This window comes from Homo sapiens, chromosome 19 (genome assembly GCF_000001405.40).
Source record: "Homo sapiens chromosome 19, GRCh38.p14 Primary Assembly".
Taxonomy (NCBI): Eukaryota; Metazoa; Chordata; class Mammalia; order Primates; family Hominidae; genus Homo; species Homo sapiens.
The window spans coordinates 2,321,521-2,345,888 of record NC_000019.10 but is presented as its reverse complement, the minus strand read 5'-3'; the positions used below and the strand labels follow the sequence as shown (position 1 = coordinate 2,345,888).

Below are 24,368 nucleotides of genomic sequence, written 5' to 3'. Positions count from 1 at the left end.
AATGAGAAAGACGGGGACGGAGGCACAGGCCCAGGGAGAATGAGAAAGACAGGGACGGAGGCACGGACCCAGGGAGAATGAGAAAGACGGGGATGGAGGCACGGGCCCAGGGAGAATGAGAAAGAGGGGGACGGAGGCACAGGCCCAGGGAGAATGAGAAAGACGGGGACGGAGGCACAGGCCCAGGAAGAATGAGAAAGAGGGGGTTGCAGGCACAGGCCCGGGGAGAATGAGAAAGAGGGGGATGCAGGCACGGGCCCAGGAAGAATGAGGAAGATGGGGACAGAGGCACAGGCCCAGGAAGAATGAGAAAGAGGGGGTTGCAGGCACAGGCCCGGGGAGAATGAGAAAGAGGGGGATGCAGGCACAGGCCCAGCCACCCGAGCCCAGCTCCCGGAGTGGCCAGGGGGTTAGGGTTAGGGTGTTATGGTTACGGTGTTAGAGTTGGAATTAGGGTTAGGGTTGGGGTTGGGGTTAGGGGTCAGGGTCAGGACAGAGGCTAAGTCGGGGTGGGGCTGGAGCCAGAGAGGCCAGCACGGGCCCAACCGAGGCACTTACCGATGGTGCAGGCCACGAAGTATACCCTGGAGGACTGTACCTGGATGTCAAACCTGTGGCAGTAGGCCACCAGCAGCCCTGGGGGAGGCACAGGGCGGAGGCTTACTCGGGCCCGCAGAGCCTCAGAGCAGGGGCTTCCTGGGAGCGGGCGGGCACCTGAGCACCTGTGGGCGCCGTGGGCCTCTCGCTGCCTGGTGGCTGCTGTCATTTCACAGACAGGCCACACGCTCGCTCGGGACAGGGCTGCCATGACTCTCAGTGGGTAAACTGAGACCACAGTGAGAACAAAGTCCAGGCAGACACACCTGGCAGGACCCTGGGGACACTGAGGCTGCGAGGGTACAGTCTCTGCCTTCTGCAGCAACATGAGCTCACTGGGACCCGGGATCCAGGCCCCAGCAAGGACCCCTGCACAACCCCGAGCAGGATGGGGTGAGGCTGTCTGCAATCGGGGGGCCTTCCCCGCTCCCTAGGAACAAAGGGGGTCCCTACCCCACCCAGGCAATGCCCTCGCTGCCCAGGCACCCAGGCCTCAACGGCCCCAACCTGCCCGACTCTGACCCTCAGGGCTTTATCTCCAGCCGACGGTGTGCGGGCCACTCACTCCCAAAGGCAAACCTCAGCCGCCCGGGGCCCTGCCCCACAGCGTGGACCCGTGTGCTCCACCCGCCTCAGTACCTGGCACCAAAATGTCTCCGAAACCCAGGAGGGAGAAGGGCCGGTCACACAGGGCCAGAGGTGAGGAGTTCAGCCTGGGCACCTTCAGGACCATGGGCAGCTGCAAAGACGGGAAGAGGACAATGTCCTCCAGGACCCTCACCCGGCCGCGGGATGCCTCGAGCCCTATCCGCTCCGCGCAACACCTTGACCCATGGCAACCTGAGACCCTGCAGTCAGAAGACACACCTTCTCACGGGTGGCTGAGTCCGAGGGCCCAGTGGCCACCTCCACCATGATGCTGCTCCCACTCTGCACAGAATGGGGTTGAGTGAGGGAGCGTGGTGATGGGGTGGGGGGGCAGGGGAGTGGGGTGATGGGGCGAGGGGGCAGGGTGATGCGATGGGGGGGTGCAAGGGGCAGGGTGATGGGGGGTGATGGGGCAGGGGAGCAGGGTGATGGGGTGGAGGTGAGCGGGGTGATGGGGTGGGGGGCAGGGGAGCACGGTGTGGGGTGGAGGGGGACGAGGGGGCGGGACGAGGGGGCGGGGTGATGGGGGGGGTGATGGGGCGGGGGTTGCGAGGGGGCGGGGGAGCGGGGTGATGGGGTGGAGCAGGGACAGGCAGTCGCCTACCTTGGTCAGGAAGGGCGTGATGAACACGAAGAAGATGTCGTAGAGGAACAGCACCAGCAGCAGCAGCGTGCAGGCCTGCGAAGCCCACGGCTGAGGGCGGCCCCCACCCCGGCCCGTGCCTCCCCCACTCCCATCTCATGAGGCCCAGCGCCTCCTCCTGGGAGGCAGCCTTTAAAGGAACCTGAGCAGAGCGTGCCCAGTGCCAGGGACGCACCACGCAGGAGGAGCTTTGGAAGCAACATCAGGTAGGGATTTACGGGCAAAAGTCAGGCTTTTAGAGTCTCCACGTAACAGGAAGGCGGGGACGGGAGGGCGGAGGCCTGTGCCACGCAGGGCCGGCTCTGGGGATACAGAGGGCCATCCTGGGCATTCAAATGCCGCTTGCTTGGGGTGCTGTGGGGCCCTCACGGGAGTGCAGCCGCCTGGGGCTTGACAACATCCCCGCACTCCCGGTACCACCTGAGGCCAGTTCCTCCAGCCCTATTCAACCACTCTCACCACCACCTCATCTAGACATGAGTTGCCCCTGCCGGGAACCGCCCCGCAGCCACCCACCCAGGCCGCCTCAGCGGGGGCTTTGGGACCCAATCTTCAAGCCCCACCCTTCACAACAGGCCTAGGCGGCCATCCCCAGGGCAGTGAGCAGGAGCACAGACCTGCAAGGACCACAGCCCCACACGGGCCAGGCTAGGATGAAGGGCCCCCACTACCCATGCTGCCCCGCAGCCGTGCCCTCCCTGCACTCACCTTGAAGGTGGGCAGACGGATGGTCTTCAGCATGTAGAGGCAGAAGGCGATGCCCAGGGCATCCTGGAGGACCCAGGCCCACCTGCAAGACAAAGCAGCATCCTCGCCGGGGCAGAGGCTGGCTGACCACCCAGGACGCCGCCTCCCACGAGCCACACAGGGCCCTTGCTCTCAGCCAGCACGCAGCCCCACTGCCCTTCCACCTGCCCAGGGGATGACTCTGAGGACCCCAGACCTGTGGGAGGACCCCTGCTGTTACAACTCCAGCAGGGCTGGCGGCACAGGCCCCACCCCAGGGCCCACCCTGCGGAAGCAGGTAGAGGAGCCCACCACTCGGCAGCCAGGACAGTGGACACAGGCCTGGCCGGCTGCGTCTCCTCGGTCGCTGTCCCCAGATGGTGGGGCCAGGACGGTGGACACGGGCCTGGCCGGCTGCGTCCCCTCAGTCGCTGTCCCCGGATGGTGGGGCCAGGATGGTGGACACGGGCCTGGCCGGCTGCGTCCCCTCAGTCACTGTCCCCGGATGGTGGGCGTCACGCTGTAGGCAGGGGTCACAGGCTGTAGGCAGGGGCCAGGCAGAGGGTGCGTGCGCAGGAGGGCTTGGGCACTGACCCCTCCAAACTGTTTTTATTTTGTTTTTGAGATGGAGTCTCACTCTGTCACCCAGGCTGGAGTTTGGTGGCACGATCTTGACTCGCTGCAACCTCCACCTCCCAGGTTCAAGCAATTCTCCTGCCTCAGCCTCCCAAGTAGCTGGGATTACAGGCACACACCACAATGCCAGGCAAATTTTTTTGTATTTTTAGTAGAGATGGGGTTTTGTCATGTTGGCCAGGCTGGTCTCAAACTCCTGACCTCAAGTGATCTGCCCGCCTCACCTCCCAAAGTGCTGGGATTACAGGCATGAGCCCCCGTGCCCAAACTGTTTATTAAATTAAAACTTGTGCCACACCAGGTTTCCTCAAAGAACCTCTGGGTCCACAGTGGGTGGGGCTGCCATGCGGTTGGTGCCCTGGGGCAAAGCACAGAACTGCCTCCTGCACAAGGCCACGGCCCCTGCAGCCAGCCGCAACTTCGGCTCTCTCCTGGCCCCACGAAGCCCCAGAGTCCCCTCCCCGCTGGCCCCTGCCCCCAATGCAGGCTCTGCCTGTCACTTGCTGGACGAGTTCCCCAGCGTTCCTCAGCGTCTCAAACATCAAAGGCTTCATTTGAAAATGGGATAAAAACATCTCCAGGGCGGGGCGGCTGCTAACAGCAGAGGCCTCCATGGGAGACGCTGGTACAGCCAATTCCAGGCGCCACGTACTTCAAGCACCCAGAGAACTGCGGCCAGTTATTTTTTCTGATTTTATATTATTTCTTAAATAGGGCGTCTCGCTTGTTGCCCAGGCTGGTCTTGAACTCCTGGGCAAAGTGATCGTCCTGCCTTGGCCTACCAAATGCTGGGATCCCAGGCGTGAGCCCCTGCGCCCAGCTGACTGAGGCCTGCTCTAACTTCATGTGACGGAGCGAGTTTCCTGGCTTGGAAATAACTGAAAAGATTCATTTTCTCTTTGTGTACAAAGGATTCAAAATATTTTCACATCTTCCTTCTGCCAGTTAAACGTGCCGTGGCTCCAATACACACCAAAGCCAAGCGTACTTGGCTGCCTCAGGAAGGCTGGGAGGAAGTGCCAGATGGTATCAGCGACAGCGGTGGGGACCGGGCGGGGACGGGCCAGCTCTGTCCTCCCAACACGGCACCAGGCACTCGGCCTCATGGGGGAGGCCCGGCCAGCGGGAGGCAGCCACAAGTCCAGGCCACGTGGGAGGTGAGCGTGGGGGGAGCAGTGCCTGCCCCACCTCCACCACTGCTCAGAAGCCGCAGCAGTCATGACCAAGAGGACCGGGTGCCCTGGTGCCCACACCCTGGGCCTCGAACCTGCGGCGTGCACGTGGGTGCCAGGAAAGGGACAGCGGGGGACAGACTGTGGCCCTGGGCAGCGATGCCCCACAAAGGAGTCCCATCCAGGCTGGAGGACGTGGCTCCTGGCCACAGGGGCTCCGGCCTCTCCTCCCGGATTCCAGTCAGGGTTCCCATGACACCCGGACAAACCCCAGGTGAAACGCCCTCGCAGCCCTGTCAGAGCAGCCCGGGGCCAGGGCTCTTCATCACGCGGTGCTGAAGCAGCTCCAGGCTGGGGCGGCCTCCAGGGAGGGCAGGGAGTCAGGGCCCCAGGAGCCCTGGTGCACCCGAGGACTCCGCTGCCCGCCGGGGCCCGGGGGAAGCAGCACTTACTGGTCCTCGTTGCGGAAGACGCCCCACACCACGCTGACGGCCACGCAGAAGAGCGCCAGGAGCAGCATACGGGCCTGCGGGCGCTTGTGGAAGTAGGGCAGGCTGTTGTTGGGGATCCTGGGGGGCACGGGGCAGTCAGAGCCAAGCCCACCAGCTCCCGGCCTCATCCCACTGCCCACCACCCTTGGGACCGGCCCAGGCACCCCCTGCAGAGTGGCAGCCCCCACTCTGTTGTCCTCATTAAACTCCACATCCCACACGATGACAACAGTAGGCACCCCAAGGGCAGGGCAGAGCCCGACCCGGGCAGGCGCTGGGGGCCACGGGCTGTACCCACAGAGCCCCTCGCCTGCGCTGCGCCCCTTCGCCCGAGGCCCTGCCTGCTCCAGACCTCCCACCTCCTCACCCAGGGACGGCAACACAAAAAGGTCTCCCCCTGGGCTAGCCCCGCTTCCTAGACCCAGGTCTGACTTTGTTGGAGACCCCCCAGCAGCTCCCTTTACCCCTAAGAGCCAGGCCAAGCTCTGGGCTGTGGGGAACCTTCTGGGTTCCCCGGAGAACCCTGGGGAACCCAGGGTTCGGCCTGCGACCTGGGGCAGGGTTCCTGGGGACAAGGGCACCCTCCCCCCGCCACCCCTGGCGCCTGGCTGCTGGTGGGCTCCATTGATAGCTCGCCCAGACTCCGCCCTGCTCCTGGGCCTAGGAGCCCCAGGCCAGCACTGAGGGAGCGCCTGCTGTAGACTCTGAGCAATATTGCACCATGGGGGGCTATGGGGCGGCAAAGGGGCCGTGGCCATCACCGCACAGAGTCAGGCACGTCGGGGCCAGCAGGGCAGACTCACCTGCACTTGCCGAAGGGCAGCCGCCGCACACAGGGCGCCAGGCAGCTGTAGAGGCCGGTGGCGGAGGCCAGGCAGAAGATCCCGATGACCACGTACACTGCAGGGGCAGGGCCGTGAGGCCGGGGGCCAGGCCCGCACGCCACCCTCCCTCCGCACGGGGCGGGCTGCATCTCCACGCCGCGGCCCACCCGCCCGGGGCCGCGCACCGAGGAGATCGTAGAAATAGTAGAGCAGCACCAGCATGGAGCAGCACATCACCACAAACACGCAGGTCATCACCGGCGTCACGTCCACCGCCTCGTCCTCCTGCTTCTCGGGCCCATCGTCGCGCTTGTGCTTCATGTACCTTCTTGGGAGACACCATGGGGTCGTGGGGCCCTGGGGCCGGCTGGCCGACACGGGGCTCGGGAGCCCACAGCCACCCGGGGGAACGGGGCAGAAAACCCGGGAGCAGGAGGGGACCCGGGGGGGACTGAAGTGCAAGGAACCGCCCCGAACGTCCCCAGGGCAGAGGAGACCACACAGCAGAGGGTGGCAGGGCCCGCGTCCCTGGGTTGAGCTGGGGTGGCCACTAGGCCGGGCCAGAGGCTGGCGTGTGGGCAGCAACCGCAGCTTGGATCTGCATAAAGAGCCCTGGACATGGGGCCTCCCCAGACCCAGGCGGCTCAGCAGGAAGAGGGTAGCTGGCCCCAGCCACCTGCCCAGCCCTGCACCTGCCACGCCCGTACCTGCCACATCCACACCTGCCCAGCCCTACACACCCACCAGGTGCCCGGAGCCCACCCTGGCAGGAAAAGAGACTGATTCTGTCCCAGGACCTCCTGAGGAAGAAACGAAGGGCTCCACGGGGCGAGCCGTGCCTGCCGAGGCCAAAGCACTCACTGCTGTTCTGGAAGACTGGCCGTCCCGGCCCGTGTCAGAGCCGCCCGACCCCGTCACAGCACACGCACGATGCGAAACTCACTTCTTCACGTCCCGACTCCCGGCCCAGTAGCCGCCGATGGCGACGGTGCCCACAGCCATGATGAAGATGATGACCATGTTGTAGTCCAGCACCGGCTCCTTAGGCGCATACAGCGCCGCCCTCACCGTGCGGCCGAAACGCTGCCTCAAGGAACACACCGGAGGCAGGCGTCAGAGCCACCCGCCAGCCATGGGTCGACGTGCAGCTGTGGGCTGTGGGGCTGGGGCTGGAGACCCTGGCCTGCAGGGGCCACGCCTCACCCACCACCCTGATCCCACCAACTGAGGCACAAACCCCCCCGGCAGCCAGCCCGAAGCCCCCTGCCCCATCTCCTCGGGAGCGTGGGTCTGAGCCGGCGCAGACCTACCGTGAAGATGTCCAGCATGTCTTTGTAGCTGAGCAGGGCCACGGGAATGCCAATCTCATCATACTGCGTCTTATTACCCCCCGGGGGGACCTGGGGGCCCAGAGGAGGGAGCGGCAGGCATCACCCGCAGCAGTGGGTGGGCCCCCAGCTCTGTGCCCATTCGCCTCCTCTCCTGGGACCCTCACTCGAGGCTCGGGTCAGGCTGGGGGCGCCTGCTGGCTCCCCCTCTGCAGCTGACAGCCTCCGGCCCCCCAGGAGGACCCAAGAACAGGGAGGCCGAAGGGCATCAAGCCTTCTTCACCTGACAACAGGGCCCCAGGCCTAAAAGCGCCACTAATCCCTCCCTCGGCCGTGGGACTCCCGAACCGCACATACAAGTCCTGAGTGATACTTGTCACAGCCCATGCCTGCCCACTAAGCCGCCTTGAGCCCCGCACCCACTGAGGGCCTCTCTCAACTACGACGGCAGCGTGTGCGGACAGGGATGGCACTCTCGGCTCTGCCCGGCCTGCTCTGCCCTCGGCCCTGAGCCCCTGCACCAGGCCTCCGTGGATTGCCAGGCTCAGGGTGCAACACTGGCGGGGGCAGCCCAGAGCCACAGGCAGAGCTGTGAGGGAATTCCTGAACTCCATTCCTTCTTACTCCAAAACTACACTTCAGGGGCGGCCACGCACCCTGCCCAGCCCAGCAGTCGGCATGTCCCTGTGCTGTGACCAGCCCTGCCAGGCCCCCAGCTCTCAACCACAGCCCCATTTCACAGAAGATGGAAAAGGGGCCAGGCTTCAGGCCACCTGGCTAGGACCACAGGCGAGCACGGCCCCACCGGCTAGAGGGCAAGGGCACCAGGGTACCCAGAAAGGACCAGCTCAGGGCCAGGCCACCTGCTCCTCAGAAGCCACCCCAATCCCATCCCCACAGAGAGTGTGGTCTCCGTCACCCCTGGGGGCTGCTCTAGGACAGGCACCCAACAAGACCACGGCCAAAGTTCCACAGCCCCAGCCAGCAGCTCAGGAAGAACAGACTCATCTCCGCCCTCCCCACGGCCACACTCGGCCCGGATCCTCCCCATGTTCACACTCGGCCCAGATCCTCCCCACAGATGGATCTGCCTTTAGCGAGAAGTCGGAAGACCAGCCCCAGCTGCTGCCATCTCTGCCTCCTGCACCCCCCTCCTGCCCCTGAGAGCTGGCCCAGCGGGGGACGCACAGGGCCGTACCAGCCTCTCCCTGCTGACGATGAGCAGCCCGCGTGCTCCGCTGCCCTGGGCCAGCCTCACTTTCTCATAGAAGGTGCAGTTCCCCCGCGCCACCAGCGGGATCTGGTTGCTGAAGCCACGGGCGGGGAGGTCGGCTGCGGAGCAGAGCAGGGAGGCCGTCCAGTTGCGCAGCTGCAGGAAAGACTGGAAAGGCCAGGGCACAGTGTTGTCTCACGTGATGTGAGTCACCAGGAGGGCCCAGCTGCCCGTTCTCCCACCTGAAGCCTGCGCTGAGTTAGATCCCAGCCCTCACCTAAAGCCCCGCACGGCCTCGGCCCACCTAGGCAGAGCCATCCCTACTGCAGCTCCCACAGCCGGACCCTGGGCGACGGGCTGGGCTGCCTCATCTGAGCGGGGCCGGAGTCCTCACAGACATGGCTGTCCCCTGATACCTGAGCCACCCCGCGAGCCGTCACAGATCACTCAGCAAGACCAAGTGGGTCCCCACCGCAGCCCCACCACGGCCAGGCATCTGTGAGAAGGGGGAGGGTTTCCAGTGTGCAGAGAACAAAGCCCCAACTCTCAGGGGCCTCACAGCCCCTGAAGCCAAGACACACACGCACACACACACGCACACGCACACACACACCCACAGCCAGGCCGGAACACGCGCACACACAAGCACACGTCCACAGCCAGGCTGGAGCACACGGCACACACATGCATACATGCACACACACACACACACCCACAGCCAGACCAGTGCACACGCACACACCCACAGCCAGGCTGGAGTGCACACACACACACACGCACATAGCCGCAGCCAGGCCAGCGCGCACACACACACACACCCACAGCCAGGCTGGAGTGCATGCACACACACGTGCACACATACACAGCCAGGCCGGACCACATGGCACACATATGCACACGCAAGCACACACATGCACACTCACACTCAAGCAGACACATGCCTATTACACACATGCACACACACACGCACACACAGCCAGGCCAGAGCACACAGCACACGTGTGCATATACAAGCACATACCTGTGCACTCAAGCTCACGCACACACACCTATTACACACACATGCATACACACACGCCACATGAACTCACACACTCACACGCACATACCTATTACACATGCACTCACACACACTCATGCACACACACGAACCCAAACACACAGGCACATACACATCCACACACAAACCTATTATCCACATGTACACACACATACACACAGACCTATTACACATGTACACACGCACACATGTGCAGACACATGCACACATCCACAAACATAACTATTATGTAGCTACATGCTTACACACACCTGCACACATACAGACACACATGCACTCACACATCCATACACAAAACTATTGCATGCACACTCACAGGCACATGTGCACATAAAAACAGACATACACATTCAGACCCATGCACATGCCCCCACACACCTATTACACACATGCTCACACACACAGGTGTGCTGACACACAAACACGCACTAAGGCACACATGTCCATGCACATATCTAGTACACATGTGCTCACACACACAAACTCAGAAATATGCACTCAGGCACATGTCTTCACACATACCTATTACATGTGTTCACATACCTATTACATGTGTTGACACACACCTATGTGTTCACACACAAAAAAACACTCAGGCACATGCACACATACACTGATGCAAACTCACATAAACATGCAGACACATGAGCATGTCCAGGCACATACTGATTACACACGTGCTCACACGCACACACTATGCATAAAGCTGACAGGAAGATGCTAGTGCCTCTTCGCCGGCACACCTCGAGGGCTCCAGGAGGGGGCGGGACACAGTGGGAAAGGAGGCGGGGCCTGAGGGACTCAGTGGGAAAGGAGGCGGGGCCTGAGGGATGCGGTGGGAAAGGAGAGAGGGCCTGAGGGATACGGTGGGAAAGGAGGCAGGGCCTGAGGGATGGGGTGGGAAAGGAGGCGGGGCCTGAAGGATGCAGTGGGAAAGGAGGCAGGGACAGAGGGGTGTGGTGGGAAAGGAGGCGGGGCCAGAGGGATGCAGTGGAAAAGGAGGCAGGGCCTGAGGGATGAAGTGAGAAAGGAGGCGGGGCCTGAGGGATGCAGTGGGAAAGGAGGCGGGGCCTGAAGGATGCAATGAGAAAGGAGGCGGGGCCTGAAGCATGCAGTGGGAAAGGAGGCGGGGCCTGAAGCATGCAGTGGGAAAGAAGGCGGGGCCTGAAGGATGCAGTGAGAAAGGAGGCGGGGCCTGAAGGATGCAGTGGGAAATGAGGCGGGGCCTGAAGGATGCAGTGGGAAAGGAGGCGGGGCCTGAAGGATGCAGTGGGAAAGGAGGCGGGGCCTGAAGGATGCAGTGGGAAAGGAGGCGGGGCCTGAAGGATGCAGTGGAAAGGAGGCGGGGCCTGAGGGATGCGGTGGGAAAGGAGGCGGGGCATGAGGACTAAGTGGGAAAGGAGGTGGGGCCTCTGAGGGAGGGACTCATCCAGCAGCAGGTGTTAGTGCCCCAGTCAGGAAGACGGTGAAAGGAACAGGTCTCGTCCCTGGGGCCCCACTGTGCCCTCTGCTGTTACTCCTCTGAGGACCCCTCTGTCTGGGCCCACTGGATAGGGTCCCCGGCATGGAGCAGTAGAGACCCTTATCTACCACATGGAGCTCGGCCGGTGCCTCTGGATCTGCACCCCAAGGCCGCATGGACAGCTTGCATTGATGACCAGGGTTGGGGAGGCCCAGGGGAACTGGGGGCCAGCTAAGAGTCCCCCAGACCTGGTCAGGGCCTGCCTCTCGCCTCTGGATCTTTCCTGCAACCCCAGCCGGATGTGTCTCTAGAGCCCCGGGGCCCCCGCATTCTCCTCCGCAGCGGCGCCCGGCCAGCGGGTACTCACTGCCTTGCTGAGGTCGTGCGGAAGATGGGCCCACTGCGGGTTGTAGAGGATGCAGTAGTCTTTGCCTTCGGGGCCCCCGGCCTGGGAGACCACGTGCACCATGCCGTACTCACAGGCCACCTGCAGGACAAGGCCAGCAGTCAGAGCCACAGCACGGGACGTGCGGGGCTGCACCGCCCCACGAGAAACAGGCCCGAGGAGGGGAGGACGCCTCCAGGAAGGGCGCCCATGTTCACCAGGTGGTCTGGGATGCTTCCCCCTCTCGACAGGACAGACAGGGACGTGACCATACGTGGTTTACAGCAAAGACCCAGACTGGCTCACCTTCCTCAGGGAGCCCCAGGCTGGTGACCATGAGTGTGTCAGGTCACCCCTTTGTGGCTCCCGAGTTTCTGCACCAAAAAACAGGGATCGCACCACCTCCTGGGCCTCCCAGGATCAGTGGGCACGGTGGGAGAATGACAGCCACGGGCAGAGCCACGGGCAGAGCCCTGAGCAGGGAAGCAGGGCAGGGCCCCAGCGGACCTGGCCCCCAGCCTGGGCGGGAGGCCTGGACAAGCAAGCCTCTGCACCCCTCAGGTCTGGGTGGCCTTTGACCCACAGCCCCGTGGGCACTGCTTGTTGGCTGGTGCTCCAAGGCACACGGGGGCCCAGGCACACGGTGGGGCCCAGACGAGGGGGATCCCCAGATCAGCACCCCTCAGCTCCCACTGGTAGAACAGCAGGAAGCAGGTGGGCCAAGGGGCCTACGGGCACCGGGTCCTGAGTGGGACAGGCTGAGGTTTGCAACAGGTCACGCTGCCACCAGCAGGACAGACAGCGTCATGTTCCCCATGAAGCCCCAAAGCAGCAGAGTCCAGCACAGCAGCTCCCACTTCGCAGGAGGGAGAAGGAACAGCCAGCCAGGGCTTCAAGTTCCTGCTCTCCAGCCTGCAGCAGCAGCAGCTCAGAGAAGGCCACAGGGAGAAGGCCCGGATCCACGGGCAGGAGCCCCTGACACACAACGGGGACAACAGGCCAAAGCCAGCCAAGAGAAGCAGGGGTGGTGGCCACCGCGCCCAGGACAGAACGGGCTGGGGCCCTTGCCACGCTCTCAAAATGAAGTAGGGGGCAGGACCAGGCCCCAAAGCCCTGGACGCCTCCCAGGAGGGCTGCGGAGTAGACGGGCCTGGACCAGAAGGGACGACCCCCACCTCTTCAATTTAATGCTTAACAGAGCAGGATGGAGCTATGAGGAAAGACGGATTCCACAAGCAGGAAGCTGGCACTGCTCACCACGCCTCCCACCGCAGGGACCACGGCGGACACTGCAGGGCTCTGGCCTAGGCAGAACCACGGTCCTCCCAGCAGAGCCCAGTCCAGCCGCCCGCACCTGCCATCCCCACCTTCCTCCTGCTCCCGCAAAGCCCAGTCCAGCCTCCCGCACCTGCCGTCCCCACCTCCTCCTGCTCCCCTCCCAGCAGAGCCCAGTCCAGCTGCCCGCACCTGCCATCCCCACCCTCCTCCTGCTCCCCTCCCAGCAGAGTCTAGTCCAGCCGCCCGCACCTGCCATCCCCACCCTCCTCCTGCTCCCCCTCCCAGCAGAGCCCAGTCCAGCCGCCTGCACCTGCCATCCCCACCCTCCTCCTGCTCCCCTCCCAGCAGAGTCTAGTCCAGCCGCCCACACCTGCCATCCCCACCCTCCTCCTGCTCCCCCTCCCAGCAGAGCCCAGTCCAGCCGCCCGCACCTGCCATCCCCACCCTCCTCCTGCTCCCCCTCCCAGCAGAGCCCAGTCCAGCCGCCCGCACCTGCCATCCCCACCTTCCTTCTGCTCCCCTGCCCAGGGCCCCCACCCAGCAGCTGACAAAGACATCTCCATCTCGCCAGGATGCCAGTCACCAGAGGGTCTCACAGCGATGGGGCCCAGGTCCCAGCTGCTGTGCCACACTGCAGACCCTCAGTGTGGGCCCCCAGGGGAGCCCGGCCTGCACAGGGAGGAGGGGTCCCAGAAGAAAAACCACGTGCCAGGGACCAAGGAGACCCACCCCATGCCCTAGGCCTGCCCGTTCTCAGGAGCACCCAGCCCTCAGCCTTCTGGGGCTGCAGGGCTCCTGCCAGGCTGTAAACCTCCCAGACAGAGAGACAGCCGCACCCCCTGGTCCCCAGGGGACCTGTCACGGAAACAAACAGGCCACAGCCATTTGCCTCATCAGGAACAGGATGGCAGCCACATGTCTGAACGGATGCTGAGCTGCGCACCAAACGGGCCGACACCACAACGCCACAAGGGAAAACAGTGCAGACGCAGCTCTGCCAAGCTAGGACTGGGGAAGGACAGCTCTGGCTTGGCTAAAGGTCCCAAAGGTCCCTGGTGCCAGACACCAACCCCAGCACACAGGCACAGACGGGCTCTCCAACAGCCGGGCCCTCATCACTGAAATCATGCAAAGTCTCCGGCCTGGTCTGGGAGCATCTGGGTCAAGGCCCTGGTGACCTCGGGGTGGCAGCATGGTGAAAGCCCACGGAGCCCCGGTCCCCACAATCGACTGGGGGTCTCATAGCTCTTGGCTAATGCTGCTTCCTTCCCACAGCTGCCCCAGCCCCACTCCAAGCACCTCCCATGTGACCTCCCCCAGAGCCCAGGCAGAGTCAGGAGCCCTTTCTTTCCAGTTCTGCCCACCAGACTGCCTGCCCGTGAGAGCACCCCTTAGTCTGGCCCCGGTGCCGAGCCCGGAGGGTGCCCCTTCCAACACAGCCCCCCAGAACCCCTCCTCCAGGAGGGATGTTATGGGTCACGGCAGAGGCCAAGAATCCACAGTCCGGCCCACCTTCTGTGTTTGTAAATAAAGTTTTATTGGAACACAGCCAAGCCCATTCCTAAGGAAGGGTCTCCGGCTCTGGAAGAACAACAGGAGAAACCAAGCAACCAAACCAGAGGCCACGTGGGCCACAGAGCCCAGCAAAACTACTGTCTAGCCCTTCCCAGAAAACACTTGCCAAGCTCTGTTCTATGGGATCAGGGACTCTGGTGAAAAGTGTCTTTTGTGTAAAATGGGAACTGATAGAACTGCTTCTCTGCTTCTCTCTAAAAGGGTCATTTAAAAGCACAAAAGCACATTCATGCATTTTCCTCTCCACAATTCGCAAAACTGGTTTTCCATTAAAAAAACAAGCCTGTGCCTCTATCAAAGGCCAGAGAACGCGGCATCTCACCGGGAAGAGTTTCCTCACCTGCTGAGTTAAAGGAACGGGGAACAATTCTTCCAAAGGCCACAGCTCTAAGAGGGCCCTGAGTTCTAGACAGGCCCACCGAAATTTGGAGGAGCAGAAAAAGCTCAGGCTACAAGGACAGGCTCAAAGCCCAAGCCTCGACCTCCAAATCCTTCACAATTGCAGCACAAACGCTTTGCAACCGCACACAGGTTCAGAAACTACTAGGCTTAGAAACCCCGCTTCCAAGTGACTGTGAAAGCATCCACATCAAGGGCCTTTGAAACAGGCCAGTGAGTCCAGGCGGGGAGAGCCTCCCTTCTGGGAAGACTGAGGAGTTCCAGGAGCCGGGCCGGGTCCAGCCAGGGCCACCAGCTCCAGCTCAGATCTGCTGAGGAGCGGGCTCCGTGGGGTGGGGGAAGGGAGGTGTCTCACTGGGGAGGTCGACTTCCTTGCTCAGGGTCACAGAATGGTAGCAAGCAAGCGAGTTGAGGACTGTCACCAACCAGGCTCCTGCCCTGAGAGCAAGTCTCATTCTTGGGCAATCGGACTCAAATTTCCACTGCCGCGAAGCACTGCCCCCCTCCAGGGACAGGCGTCTCAGGGTGTATTTACAACCAGGGTTCTGGAAGGGGCAGGAACACCTGCTCTCTCACGTCCCTCTGACACATCCTTTGACTCCCCACCCTCCGGATAAAGCTCACACTCCTCAGCCCGCCCAGGTTAAAGTCCACGCACCCCAGCACCAAGCGCCTTCCACGGCCTGGCTTCCACCAGACAACCTGTCATCCAGACTAGGAGGCTGAATGCTCTGCCTTCACTCTCTGCCTGGGGCCACTCGCACCACTGCCCCCTCCTCTGTGCCCCTGCTCCAGCAACCCTCCACGGCCCACCCCCCGGGCCTCCTTGGTGGTGACATCTTTCAGGGTGTAAACCCTTCCTTCCAGCATTATTCCACCCTACACTCCAGCCACAGCCCACCCCTTGCCAACCCCAAATAACCTGCCAGCTCTCACACCTCCCAGCCCCCGCTTATGCTGCTTCTGGTGCTTCCAACACCCTTCCCCTCCTGCCGACCCGGCAAACTCCTACTCATCATTCAGAACACCTGCCTCGGGGCCGGGCACGGTGGCTCACGCCTGTCATCCCAGCACTTTGGGTGGCCGAAGCAGGTGGATCACCTGAGGTCTGAAGTTCGAGACCAGCCTGACCAACATGGTGAAACCTCGTCTCTACTAAAAAAAAAAAAAAAAAAATTTAGCCAGGAGTGGTGGCATGCACCTGTAATCCCAGCTATTCGGGAGGCTGAGGTGGGAGAATTGCTTGAACCGGGAGGCAGAGGTTGCAGTGAGCCTAGATCATGCCACTGCACTCCAGCCTGGGCGACAGAGCGAGACTCCGTCTCAAAAAAAAAAAATAGATCTGCTTCGGAAAAGCCTTCCCAGGCAAACTGAGTCCCTCTCTCCACAGAGTTCTGTGATCTTTCTTCCACCTCTGGCTTTCCCCCTCCTTCCAAATGTCTGGGGAGCTCTAGGTGCCTGGCTGCAGAATGGGGGGAGTCCAAAGGGGGCTGACAGAGCAGCTGGGGGTAGGACTGGGGTTCTCAGAAAGCTTCCGAGGGGGCCCGACAGCCTTGCAGAGACCAGGGGCATCTCAGGGTAAGAGAAAAGACTAGAGAGTGAAGCGACTGCAATGAGCTGCAGGCTTCCCCAGCAGCCAGGTCACAACTGGACGGCGCACTCATCTGGATGCGACACGGTCTGACATACTTTGAAAGGGTCACCCCTGCTGTGTCGAGGATGGACTGGGGATGTGGTGGACAAAGGCAGCCACAGCAGAGGGATAGCGGTGGGGCTGGAGGAGTGGAGACTGAGGAGCCAGGTGGCGGCGACGCCTTAAGAGTGAGAACTCTGAGGGGGTAGTGAAGGTTAAGGGCTGCATTTGTGGGGCTGCTCCAGGTTCCATTGCCTGAGCCACCGAACTCAGGAGAGAGGGAAGATTTGGAATTAAGAAAATAAAAGATGCAGTTATGACAGTGCGATCTCGTAGACTGTCCCCACTAGAACCTGACACTCTTTACATCAAATGACACACAATGAACATAATGAAGGCCTGTTGGCCCTGGGCGCTGGTCACCCTGGACAGAACCTCCAGAATCCACACCATAGTCGGTCCTCCTTCTGCACACGAATTCCATCGTCCAAGGTCACGGAGTAAAAGATGGAGCGGGGATCCGACCCCAGTGCAGGGCTGGACTCCTGGCCGCTCCAGGATGCTGCCAGTTACTGGGGGACGCGCGGGACGCCTCTGGGTTCCCCCACCGCACCCCCTAGGGTGAGGTTAGCTTAGCACCGTGCCCGTTCCGCCTAAGGGGAAACTGAGGCTCGGAGAGGGGTGGGCAGCCGCCTGCTCAAGGCCACAGAGCCGGAGAGAGGCGTCCCCGGCGGCAACTGGAGACCCCGAAACGGAGAAGCAGAACCGGAGGATGGAGGGGGCACAAATTTCAGACCCGGTGGGAAGTGAGTGGCGCTGCAGCGGCGGAGGGCCTCCGAGGCGGGGAAAGGAGAGGAGCCGGGGACAGACCCGCAAGGTCACGGCCGAGCCCCGGCACCGCCGGCCGACAACGCGGGGACGGCGGATCCCCGAGGCTGGACCCCCAAGACGGGCCGAGCGGGGTCGTTCCTGCGCGTAGCCCGGGGACAGAGAGGCCGAAGGGCCGCAGCCCGCGGTGCCGTCGGGACCGGTGCCGCGCTCACCTGGGCCGCGAGGAGCAGAAAGGCCGCCAAAAGCCGCGCCAGCGCAGCCGCCACCGCTGCCGCCATGTCGGCCGGTGCCCGCCGCAACCAACGGCAGATGTTTCCCAGCAACGCCCCGAGACCCCGGGCCACGCATGCGCCGCGCATGCGCGTGGGGGAGGTCAAAGGGCGCGGGGCGGTGCCTGCGAAGAGCCACACGGCGCGACAAGATGGCGGTGAGCGCGCGGCGGAATCTGGAGCCGGGGGGCGTGGAGCTCGGGCCGCGCTCCAGGTCTCATGCGCTCTGCTTTCCCCGCAGGATAAGGAGAAGAAGAAAAAGGAGAGCATCTTGGACTTGTCCAAGTACATCGACAAGACGATCCGGGTAAAGTTCCAGGGAGGCCGCGAAGGTGAGGAGGCTCCCGCTGTCGGTACCCCCTCTTTAAAAATTTCAAATAAACCCAGCAACAGAGATGATGAGGACGCATGCGGAAGCACCTCTTTTATTTATTTTCATTATTTTTTTTGAGACGCAGTCTCGCTCTGTCACCCGGGCTGGAGTGCAGTGGTGCGATCTCAGCTCACTGCAACCTCCGCCTCCCAGGTTCAAGTGATTCTTGTGCCTCAGCCTCCCGAGTAGCTGGAATTAATGTGTACCACCACGCCCGGCTAATATTTGTATTTTTAGTAGAGAGGCCATGTTGGCCAGGATGGTCTCAAACTCCTGGCCTCAAGCGATCTGCCTGCCTCAGCCCCCTAAATTGCTGGGATTTCAGGCATGAGCCACCATGCCCAGCCTAGCATTTTTGACTGGGCAAGTGAGCTGCCTTCTCCTAGCCTCCGTTTCCTCATTTGTCAAATGGGGCTGGTAACTCCACCCACTTCACAGGGGGTGGTGAGAATGAATGGTTACAGGCATGTAATGTAATTGAGGCAGCTCTCAGCAGGAAGTAAGCAGTCAGACAACACGTCACTTATTCAATAGCCTCTTGGATCTTTGGTTTCTTTTTTTTGTAAGACGGGGACCCAAACCTCTTTGTCCCTGGATTGTAGACAACTGGGTGGCATGAGAGTTATTAAAAATCACAGTGCCCCAGCCGGACGGGGCGGCTCACGTGTGTAATCCCAGCAATTTGGGAGTCTGAAGCAGGAGGGTGGCTTCACCCTAGGGTTTGAGGCTGCAGTGAGCTATGACCGCACCACTGCACTCCAGCCTGGGCCACAGAGCAAGGCCCAGTCTCAAAAGAGAAAAAGGAGGCCAGGCACAGTGGCTCATGCCTTTAATCTTGACACTTTGGGAGGCCGAGGCAGGCAGATCAGGAGGTCAGGAGATCAAGACCATCCTGGCCTACGTGGTGAAACCCTGTCTCTACTAAAATACAAAAAGTTAGCTGGGCATGGTGGCGCACGCTTGTAGTCCCAGCTACTCGGGGGGCTGAGGCAGGAGAATTGCTTGAACCCCAGAGGCGAGATTGTGCCACCGCACTCCAGCCTGGCGATAGGGCAAGACTCCGTCTCAAAACAAAAAGAAAAAGGAATATGAATAAAATGTTTTCTCAGTCTACACCATGCTGACTCCGGACATGGAAGGACATGAGTGAGCGGCCGCTCTTGCTGGTCACACTGCTTCCCTTTGTTTTCTGCCCTTCATAGCAAATCACCCATTTAGCAGCTGAAACAGCACCATTTTATTATCTCACAGGATCTGTGAGTCAGGAGCCAGGGTACCACAGCCTCAAGGGCTCTCAGGAGGTTGTAACTGAGGGTTGTTTTTTGGGGTCCATCATCTTGGGGTCTTCTTCTGAGCCCACTGGTTATTGACAGAGCTCAGTGCCTTACCTTTGCAGGGCCAGGGTCCCCGTTCTGGCCAGTGTTGGCTAGGGACACTTGCAGCTCCCGGACGCTGCCAGCTCGGGACTCTGTTCCACCGTGGTGGTCTGCCCCTACAGTGCTGCAGGCTGAGCTGACATTTGTCCATATTCAGTTATTCGGGCCAGTGGGAGAATCATCTTTCAGAAAGGGTTTGGGGCCGGGTGCGGGGGCTCACGCCTTAATCCCAGCAGTCTGGGAGGCTAAGGCAGGTGGATCACCTGAGGTCAGGAGTTCGAGACCAGCCTGGCCAACATGGCGAAACCCCATCTCTACTAAAAGTACAACAATTAACTGGGCGCTGTGGCTCACGCCTGTAATCCCAGCACTTTGGGAGGCTGAGGCGGGCAGATCACTTGAGTTCAGGAGTTTGAGACCAGCCTGGCCTACATGGCAAGGCCCCATCTCTACTAAAAATACAAAAATTATTTGGGCATGGTGGCGCATGCCTGTAGTCCCAGCTACTTGGGAGGCTGAGGCAGGAGAATCGCCCTGGAGGCAGAGGTTGCAGTGAGCTGAGATCGCGCCACTGCATTCCAGCCTGGGCGACAGAGCAAGACTCCATCTCAAACACACACACACACACACACACACACACACACACACACACACACAAAAAGCAGAAAGGGTTTGGTCCCTGAAGGGCTCACCTGATGCAGTCAGGCCCACCCAGGGTGTTTCTCTCTTGATTGGCTCAGTCAGCTGATTCAGGGGCTCTAATTACAGCTGCAAAGTTCCTTGTCTTTGCCACATAACCTAAGCGCAGGAGTGACATCTTGTCCCGTCAGAGTCACAGGCCCTAGCCCACACTCCAGAGGAGGGGCACCTTGGCTCCATGTTAGAGACCTACCTACCTCAGTGCTCACATCTCTCCCCGTGAGGAGGGCGGGCTCACTGGTCAGGCTGGTGCCAAGGACCTGAACATCTGCATCTGACCCCATCTTATAGGTGAGTTTCATTTTGCAGGGGAGGGACTTGAGCAAAGAGAGAGGGAGCCGTGGAGGTGGAAGCTGAAGCCTGTGGAGGTGGACGGAAGCTTGTATGCAGGCGGGCAGACCTTCTCTGTAGAAGGCCAGACGGCAAATATCTTTAGCTTTGCAGCCCAGATGGTCTCTGTCACAACCACTGAGCTATGCCAGCAGAGCAGGAGAGCCACCCTGGTCAGCGCCTGAGCGGGCGAGTGTGGTGGTGGGCCAGCGAGACTCTGACTTACAGAGAGGAGCGGCGGGCAGGTTCACCTGGGGGTCGTAGTTTGCAGACCCTCCCCCGCACCACCGCACAGGGCGGCCCTCGGTGTGTGTGGAGCAGCCGTGGACGGGCTCTCGGCCCTGCCTTGGGAGGAGACAGGCAGGCAGAATAATGCCCGGGGTGCCTGCTTCCCGAGATTGGTGGTGCCTGCTTCCCGAGATTGGTGGTGCCTGCTTCCTGAGATTGGCGTGGGCGTGCAGAGGGCAGCACCGTAAGGGCTGTGGGTTGGTGTCTGGAGGAAGCACCTGAAAGATGACAGGGGTAAGAAGGAGAGCAGGGAGGGGGTGGCTGCGGGACGCCCCTCAGTGAGCGCAGAGGTGGAGCTGCTGCTGGGCCTCGGCTGCAGGAGCCTGCAGGGCAGTGGAGGGGAGTCCCAGGCAGAGAGGGTGGGCTGGCCTCTGCTGGGGACACACAGCTCCCCCTTCACCCTTCTCAGTGTCACCAGACACTGCGGAGCAGGATCAGATGGCAGAGATCACCACCGGGTCAGAGAGCCCTAACCTAAGTTGGCAAGTTGTGGCCCAAGGCGGCGAAGCTTGAGGGGTGGGGCAGGCAGCGTGGAGAGAGAAGCCACAGAGACCGTCTCAGCCCCCGAAGCCTTTGCACCTGGGTCTCAGAGCATCTCTGTTGCCTGCTCCCCGCAAGCCCTAAGCAGCAGGGCTGGGATTTGTTCTTTTGTATTCCGTGAACTCACTGAGGGACTCAGCACAGGTCAGGCAGCGCAGTCATCACCGCTGTCAGAGCGGAGCACTCTGTCTCCCCTACAGGAAGCCCTGTCCCCATCAGCCATCACTGCCTGTCCCATCCCTGGCCCTGGCACCCACGCATCCCTTCCCTGTCTTTGTGGATTGGCCTGTCCTGGACATTTCATAGAAATGGGATCTCACGGTGCGCAGCCTTCTGTGTCTGGCGTCTCTCACTGAGCGTGACGTCCTCAGGTGCGTCCTCAGGCGCATCCGCGCTGTGGCCTGCGCCAGCCTCGCTCCTCTTCCTGGCTGGTGGTCCCACCGCGTACACGTGCCGCCGCCTGTTTTGCTGCTGCTTTTGAGCTGAGAATTGTTTTTATGACTTTTAAATAGCTAGAAAGGGATCAAAACAAGACTGTCTCACGATGTGGAAATTACATGAAATTCACAGTTCAGTGCCTGTGAGTAGAGCTGACCGGCCGCAGTTCAGCCACACATGGACTCATTACCGAAGCTGCCTCCACCCAGGCAGCCCGAGCCAGCAGCTGTGACCGGCACCCTGTGGCCCACACGGCCAGAAGTGTTTGCCATCTGGCCCCCCGCAGACGTGGTCTGCTGCCTGTGGTGGAGATCACTCTGGAGGCGGCTGTCATCGGCCACTCCCGGGAGCCCTCTCCTACCCTCAGTCCTCCATCCCTGGAGCAGTTAGCCCCATACCTGGGCCATGCTGGGGCGGGCCCTGCGCCCAGGACGGATCTCATGCCTTCTCTTTTCTCTCCCCCGGTGATTTCTCCAAGCCAGTGGAATCCTGAAGGGCTTCGACCCACTCCTCAACCTTGTGCTGGACGGCACCATTGAGTACATGCGAGGTGAGTGGGGTGGCGGCCGAGGCAGGCAGCGGGACGAGGGGGATAGTGGGGTGAGGGGGGCAGCGGGACGAGGGGGGCAGTGGGACGAGGGGGGCAGCCGTGGGGCTCCCTGCTGGCTCTTCTTCTCTCAAACCCACAAAACCTCTGAGTTACCAACGTGAAGCCTCGTGGCGGCCGATGGACGGGCTTGAGCGCTCACTGGTCCTAGACGTCCTCACAAAGCAGGAAACCCCATTGTTGTGGGGCCTGGAGAGACGGGAGCTGCCAGCTCACCCACTGGTCTCTACACACTGACGGGGCGCCCGGCACAGTTAGAGGACAACCTTTTTAAATGTTTTATTATTTTAATTTTTGTTAAATTGGTGACGTGAGAGGCCAGGCACAATGGCTCACACCTATAATCCCAGCGCTTTGGGAGGCCAAGGCAGGAGGATCTCTTGAGGTCAGGAGTTTGAGACCAGCCTGACCAACATGGTGAAACCCCGTCTCCGCTAAAAATGCAAAAAAATTGCTGGGTGTGGTGGCGCATGCCTGTAATCCCAGCTGCTCGGGAGGCTGACGCAGGAGAATCGCTTGAACCTGGGAGGCGGAGGTTGCAGTGAGCCGAGATGGTGCAACTGCACTCCAGCCTGAGTAACAGAGTGAGACTCCGTCTCAAAAAAAAGAGATAAGCTGAGGTCTCACTGTGTTGCCCGGGCTGGTCTCGAACTCCTGGGCTCAAGCCATCCTCCTGCTTCAGCCTCCCACAGTGCTGGGGTTCCAGGCGTGAGCTGTGGCGCCCAGCGGAGAGCAGCCTTGCTGTGGGGTAGTGAGCGTGCCGTGGGGCTCCTCTCGGGCGCCTTTCCTCTTCTGCCCTTGTTAATTCCCGCTATGAACGCAGGGTCCCTGTCTCCTCCCCAGAGGACCCTCCCTCATTTCCCTGCCCCCGCTCGCTCCCCTCCCCAGTGAGGCCGCCAAGTCCTCAGACTCTCCCCCAGAAGCTCCTGCGGCAAGTCCCCAGCTGGCAAGTCCCCATCCCGGCCCGGGCACTGGGGGAATGTCAGGACTTAGGAGAGAGAGGGTCTTGCCCCTTGGATCCATTGATACTGAGACAAGATTTATTCTTGTAGCTGGCCATGGTGGCTCATGCCTGTAATCCCAGCACTTTGGGAGGCCAAGACAGGAGGATCACTCGAGCCCAGGAATTTGAGACCAGCCTGGGCAACATAGTGAGACCCTGTCTCTACAAAAAAAAAAAAAATGTAATTAGCCAGGCATGGCGGTACATGTGCCTGTGGCCCCAGCTACTCAGGAGGCTAAGGCAGGAGGATTGTTTGAGCCCAGGAGGTTGAGGCTGTGAGCTGTGATTGCACTGCTGCACTCCAACCTGAGCAACAGAGCAAGACCTGGTGTCTGAAAAAAAGTTTAAAAACCTGGGCCCCATGGTTCTCCCATGCCCCCACCACTGCAGGACCACAGTAGTGAGGAGTTTTAATCGCCTTCAGCCTCTTGAGAGCTTGTCTTGGGCTTGCTGGCACTTCCCTGGGGTGCCAGCCCACATGGTCCCCACCCCACATGAACAGCCTCTTTATTTTTTTATTTTTTGAGATGGAATCTCGCTCTGTCACCCAGGCTGGAGTGCAGTGGCGCGATCTCGGCTCACTGCAAGCTCCGCCTCCTGGGTTCACACCATTCTCCTGCCTCAGCCTCCCGAGTAGCTGGGACTCCAAGTGCCTGCCACCACGCCCGGCTAATTTTTTTGTATTTTTTAGTAGAGACGGGGTTTCACCAAGTTAGCCAGGATGGTCTCGATCTCCTGACCTCGTGATCCGCCTGCCTTGGCCTCCCAAAGTGCTGGGATTACAGGCGTGAGCCACCGCGCCCGGCCCCCAGCCTCTTTGTTATAGGGTGAATATTGGCCCCCTAGGGCTCCAGGGACCTTGCAGAGACCAGGAGGCCCAGGGTGCCTGTATTCTGGCCGGCCATCTGATAACCTGGTTCCCGGCCCTGGTGCCTGGGCCCCAGTGAGCTCTGAGACGCGGGGTAGCCGGCTATCACCTGGGCCTTCTTGTTCCCATGGTTTGTGGAGTGAGGGAGGGCTGTGGCTGCTGTCTGTGGAGCTGCCACTGGTCTCTAGGGGCCATGGGTCTCAGCCGTGGGAGCCGGGGACCTGCCCCACAGAGCGCATCCCGTCTGAGGTCCCTGCGTGCTCGTGGCGCCTGCAGGGTGCAGGTGGGGAGGTCGGAGCGAGGGTCTTGGGTGGGTGGGGGGTCTCGGAGGCTTCCTGGAGGTCCCTCAGTCCTCTCTATCTGCTCCTCCCCAGACCCTGACGACCAGTACAAGCTCACGGAGGACACCCGGCAGCTGGGCCTCGTGGTGTGCCGGGGCACGTCCGTGGTGCTAATCTGCCCGCAGGACGGCATGGAGGCCATCCCCAACCCCTTCATCCAGCAGCAGGACGCCTAGCCTGGCCGGGGGCGCGGGGGGTGCAGGGCAGGCCCGAGCAGCTCGGTTTCCCGCGGACTTGGCTGCTGCTCCCACCGCAGTACCGCCTCCTGGAACGGAAGCATTTTCCTTTTTGTATAGGTTGAATTTTTGTTTTCTTAATAAAATTGCAAACCTCAA

The 24,368-nt window shown here is 61.3% G+C and overlaps 2 protein-coding genes across 7 annotated transcripts in view, besides 10 other annotated features; one reads left to right on the top strand and one right to left on the bottom strand.

The window, feature by feature from the left end:
• SPPL2B (signal peptide peptidase like 2B) overlaps nucleotides 1–17,205 on the bottom strand; it is a 26,412-nt gene extending 9,207 nt beyond the window's left edge. For 2 of the 6 annotated variants that reach the window (NM_001077238.2, NM_152988.3), the window contains exons 1-13: nucleotides 17,114–17,205; nucleotides 11,168–11,287; nucleotides 8,264–8,446; nucleotides 7,048–7,137; nucleotides 6,681–6,820; nucleotides 5,923–6,065; nucleotides 5,717–5,813; nucleotides 4,875–4,991; nucleotides 2,597–2,678; nucleotides 1,850–1,924; nucleotides 1,465–1,527; nucleotides 1,237–1,336; nucleotides 559–636 (exon numbers count right to left, since the gene is read on the bottom strand). In NM_001077238.2, the coding sequence (NP_001070706.1) occupies nucleotides 559–636; nucleotides 1,237–1,336; nucleotides 1,465–1,527; nucleotides 1,850–1,924; nucleotides 2,597–2,678; nucleotides 4,875–4,991; nucleotides 5,717–5,813; nucleotides 5,923–6,065; nucleotides 6,681–6,820; nucleotides 7,048–7,137; nucleotides 8,264–8,446; nucleotides 11,168–11,287; nucleotides 17,114–17,179 (1,354 nt within the window). In that variant the 5' untranslated portion in view covers nucleotides 17,180–17,205. The other 4 variants (XM_011528138.3, XM_011528139.3, XM_017027018.3 and 1 more) reach the window with 4 other exon arrangements.
• Nucleotides 13,318–13,367: an enhancer, noted in NCBI's record as "active region_13683". NCBI's record gives its function as "activates an Ori minimal core promoter by ATAC-STARR-seq in GM12878 lymphoblastoid cells {active_cell/tissue: GM12878}" and the evidence as "EXISTENCE:reporter gene assay evidence [ECO:0000049][PMID:35858748]".
• Nucleotides 16,919–17,178: a silencer, noted in NCBI's record as "silent region_9787". NCBI's record gives its function as "represses an Ori minimal core promoter by ATAC-STARR-seq in GM12878 lymphoblastoid cells {active_cell/tissue: GM12878}" and the evidence as "EXISTENCE:reporter gene assay evidence [ECO:0000049][PMID:35858748]".
• Nucleotides 16,919–17,588: a biological region, named in NCBI's record as "H3K27ac hESC enhancer GRCh37_chr19:2328300-2328954".
• Nucleotides 16,934–17,588: an enhancer, noted in NCBI's record as "H3K27ac hESC enhancer chr19:2328300-2328954 (GRCh37/hg19 assembly coordinates)". NCBI's record gives its function as "activates a minimal SCP1, AML or CMV promoter by ChIP-STARR-seq in primed H9 embryonic stem cells {active_cell/tissue: H9 hESC(primed)}" and the evidence as "EXISTENCE:reporter gene assay evidence [ECO:0000049][PMID:30033119]".
• Nucleotides 17,303–24,368, top strand: LSM7 (LSM7 homolog, U6 small nuclear RNA and mRNA degradation associated). Its single transcript, NM_016199.3, has 4 exons — nucleotides 17,303–17,328; nucleotides 17,412–17,502; nucleotides 21,693–21,764; nucleotides 24,067–24,368. Exons 1-4 carry the CDS (start codon nucleotides 17,323–17,325, stop codon nucleotides 24,207–24,209), a joined length of 312 nt encoding a protein of 103 aa, NP_057283.1. The 5' UTR covers nucleotides 17,303–17,322; the 3' UTR covers nucleotides 24,210–24,368.
• Nucleotides 17,389–17,438: an enhancer, noted in NCBI's record as "active region_13682". NCBI's record gives its function as "activates an Ori minimal core promoter by ATAC-STARR-seq in GM12878 lymphoblastoid cells {active_cell/tissue: GM12878}" and the evidence as "EXISTENCE:reporter gene assay evidence [ECO:0000049][PMID:35858748]".
• Nucleotides 17,449–17,498: an enhancer, noted in NCBI's record as "active region_13681". NCBI's record gives its function as "activates an Ori minimal core promoter by ATAC-STARR-seq in GM12878 lymphoblastoid cells {active_cell/tissue: GM12878}" and the evidence as "EXISTENCE:reporter gene assay evidence [ECO:0000049][PMID:35858748]".
• Nucleotides 17,869–17,928: an enhancer, noted in NCBI's record as "active region_13680". NCBI's record gives its function as "activates an Ori minimal core promoter by ATAC-STARR-seq in GM12878 lymphoblastoid cells {active_cell/tissue: GM12878}" and the evidence as "EXISTENCE:reporter gene assay evidence [ECO:0000049][PMID:35858748]".
• Nucleotides 18,199–18,298: a silencer, noted in NCBI's record as "silent region_9786". NCBI's record gives its function as "represses an Ori minimal core promoter by ATAC-STARR-seq in GM12878 lymphoblastoid cells {active_cell/tissue: GM12878}" and the evidence as "EXISTENCE:reporter gene assay evidence [ECO:0000049][PMID:35858748]".
• Nucleotides 20,984–21,103: an enhancer, noted in NCBI's record as "active region_13679". NCBI's record gives its function as "activates an Ori minimal core promoter by ATAC-STARR-seq in GM12878 lymphoblastoid cells {active_cell/tissue: GM12878}" and the evidence as "EXISTENCE:reporter gene assay evidence [ECO:0000049][PMID:35858748]".
• Nucleotides 21,544–21,603: an enhancer, noted in NCBI's record as "active region_13678". NCBI's record gives its function as "activates an Ori minimal core promoter by ATAC-STARR-seq in GM12878 lymphoblastoid cells {active_cell/tissue: GM12878}" and the evidence as "EXISTENCE:reporter gene assay evidence [ECO:0000049][PMID:35858748]".

Bases quoted from the DNA above. Each gene is read 5' to 3' on its own strand.
- LSM7 (NM_016199.3), top strand. The intron at 17,503-21,692 runs GTGAGGAGGCTC...GATTTCTCCAAG, and splicing joins GTTCCAGGGAGGCCGCGAAG to CCAGTGGAATCCTGAAGGGC. The intron at 21,765-24,066 runs GTGAGTGGGGTG...GCTCCTCCCCAG, and splicing joins CACCATTGAGTACATGCGAG to ACCCTGACGACCAGTACAAG.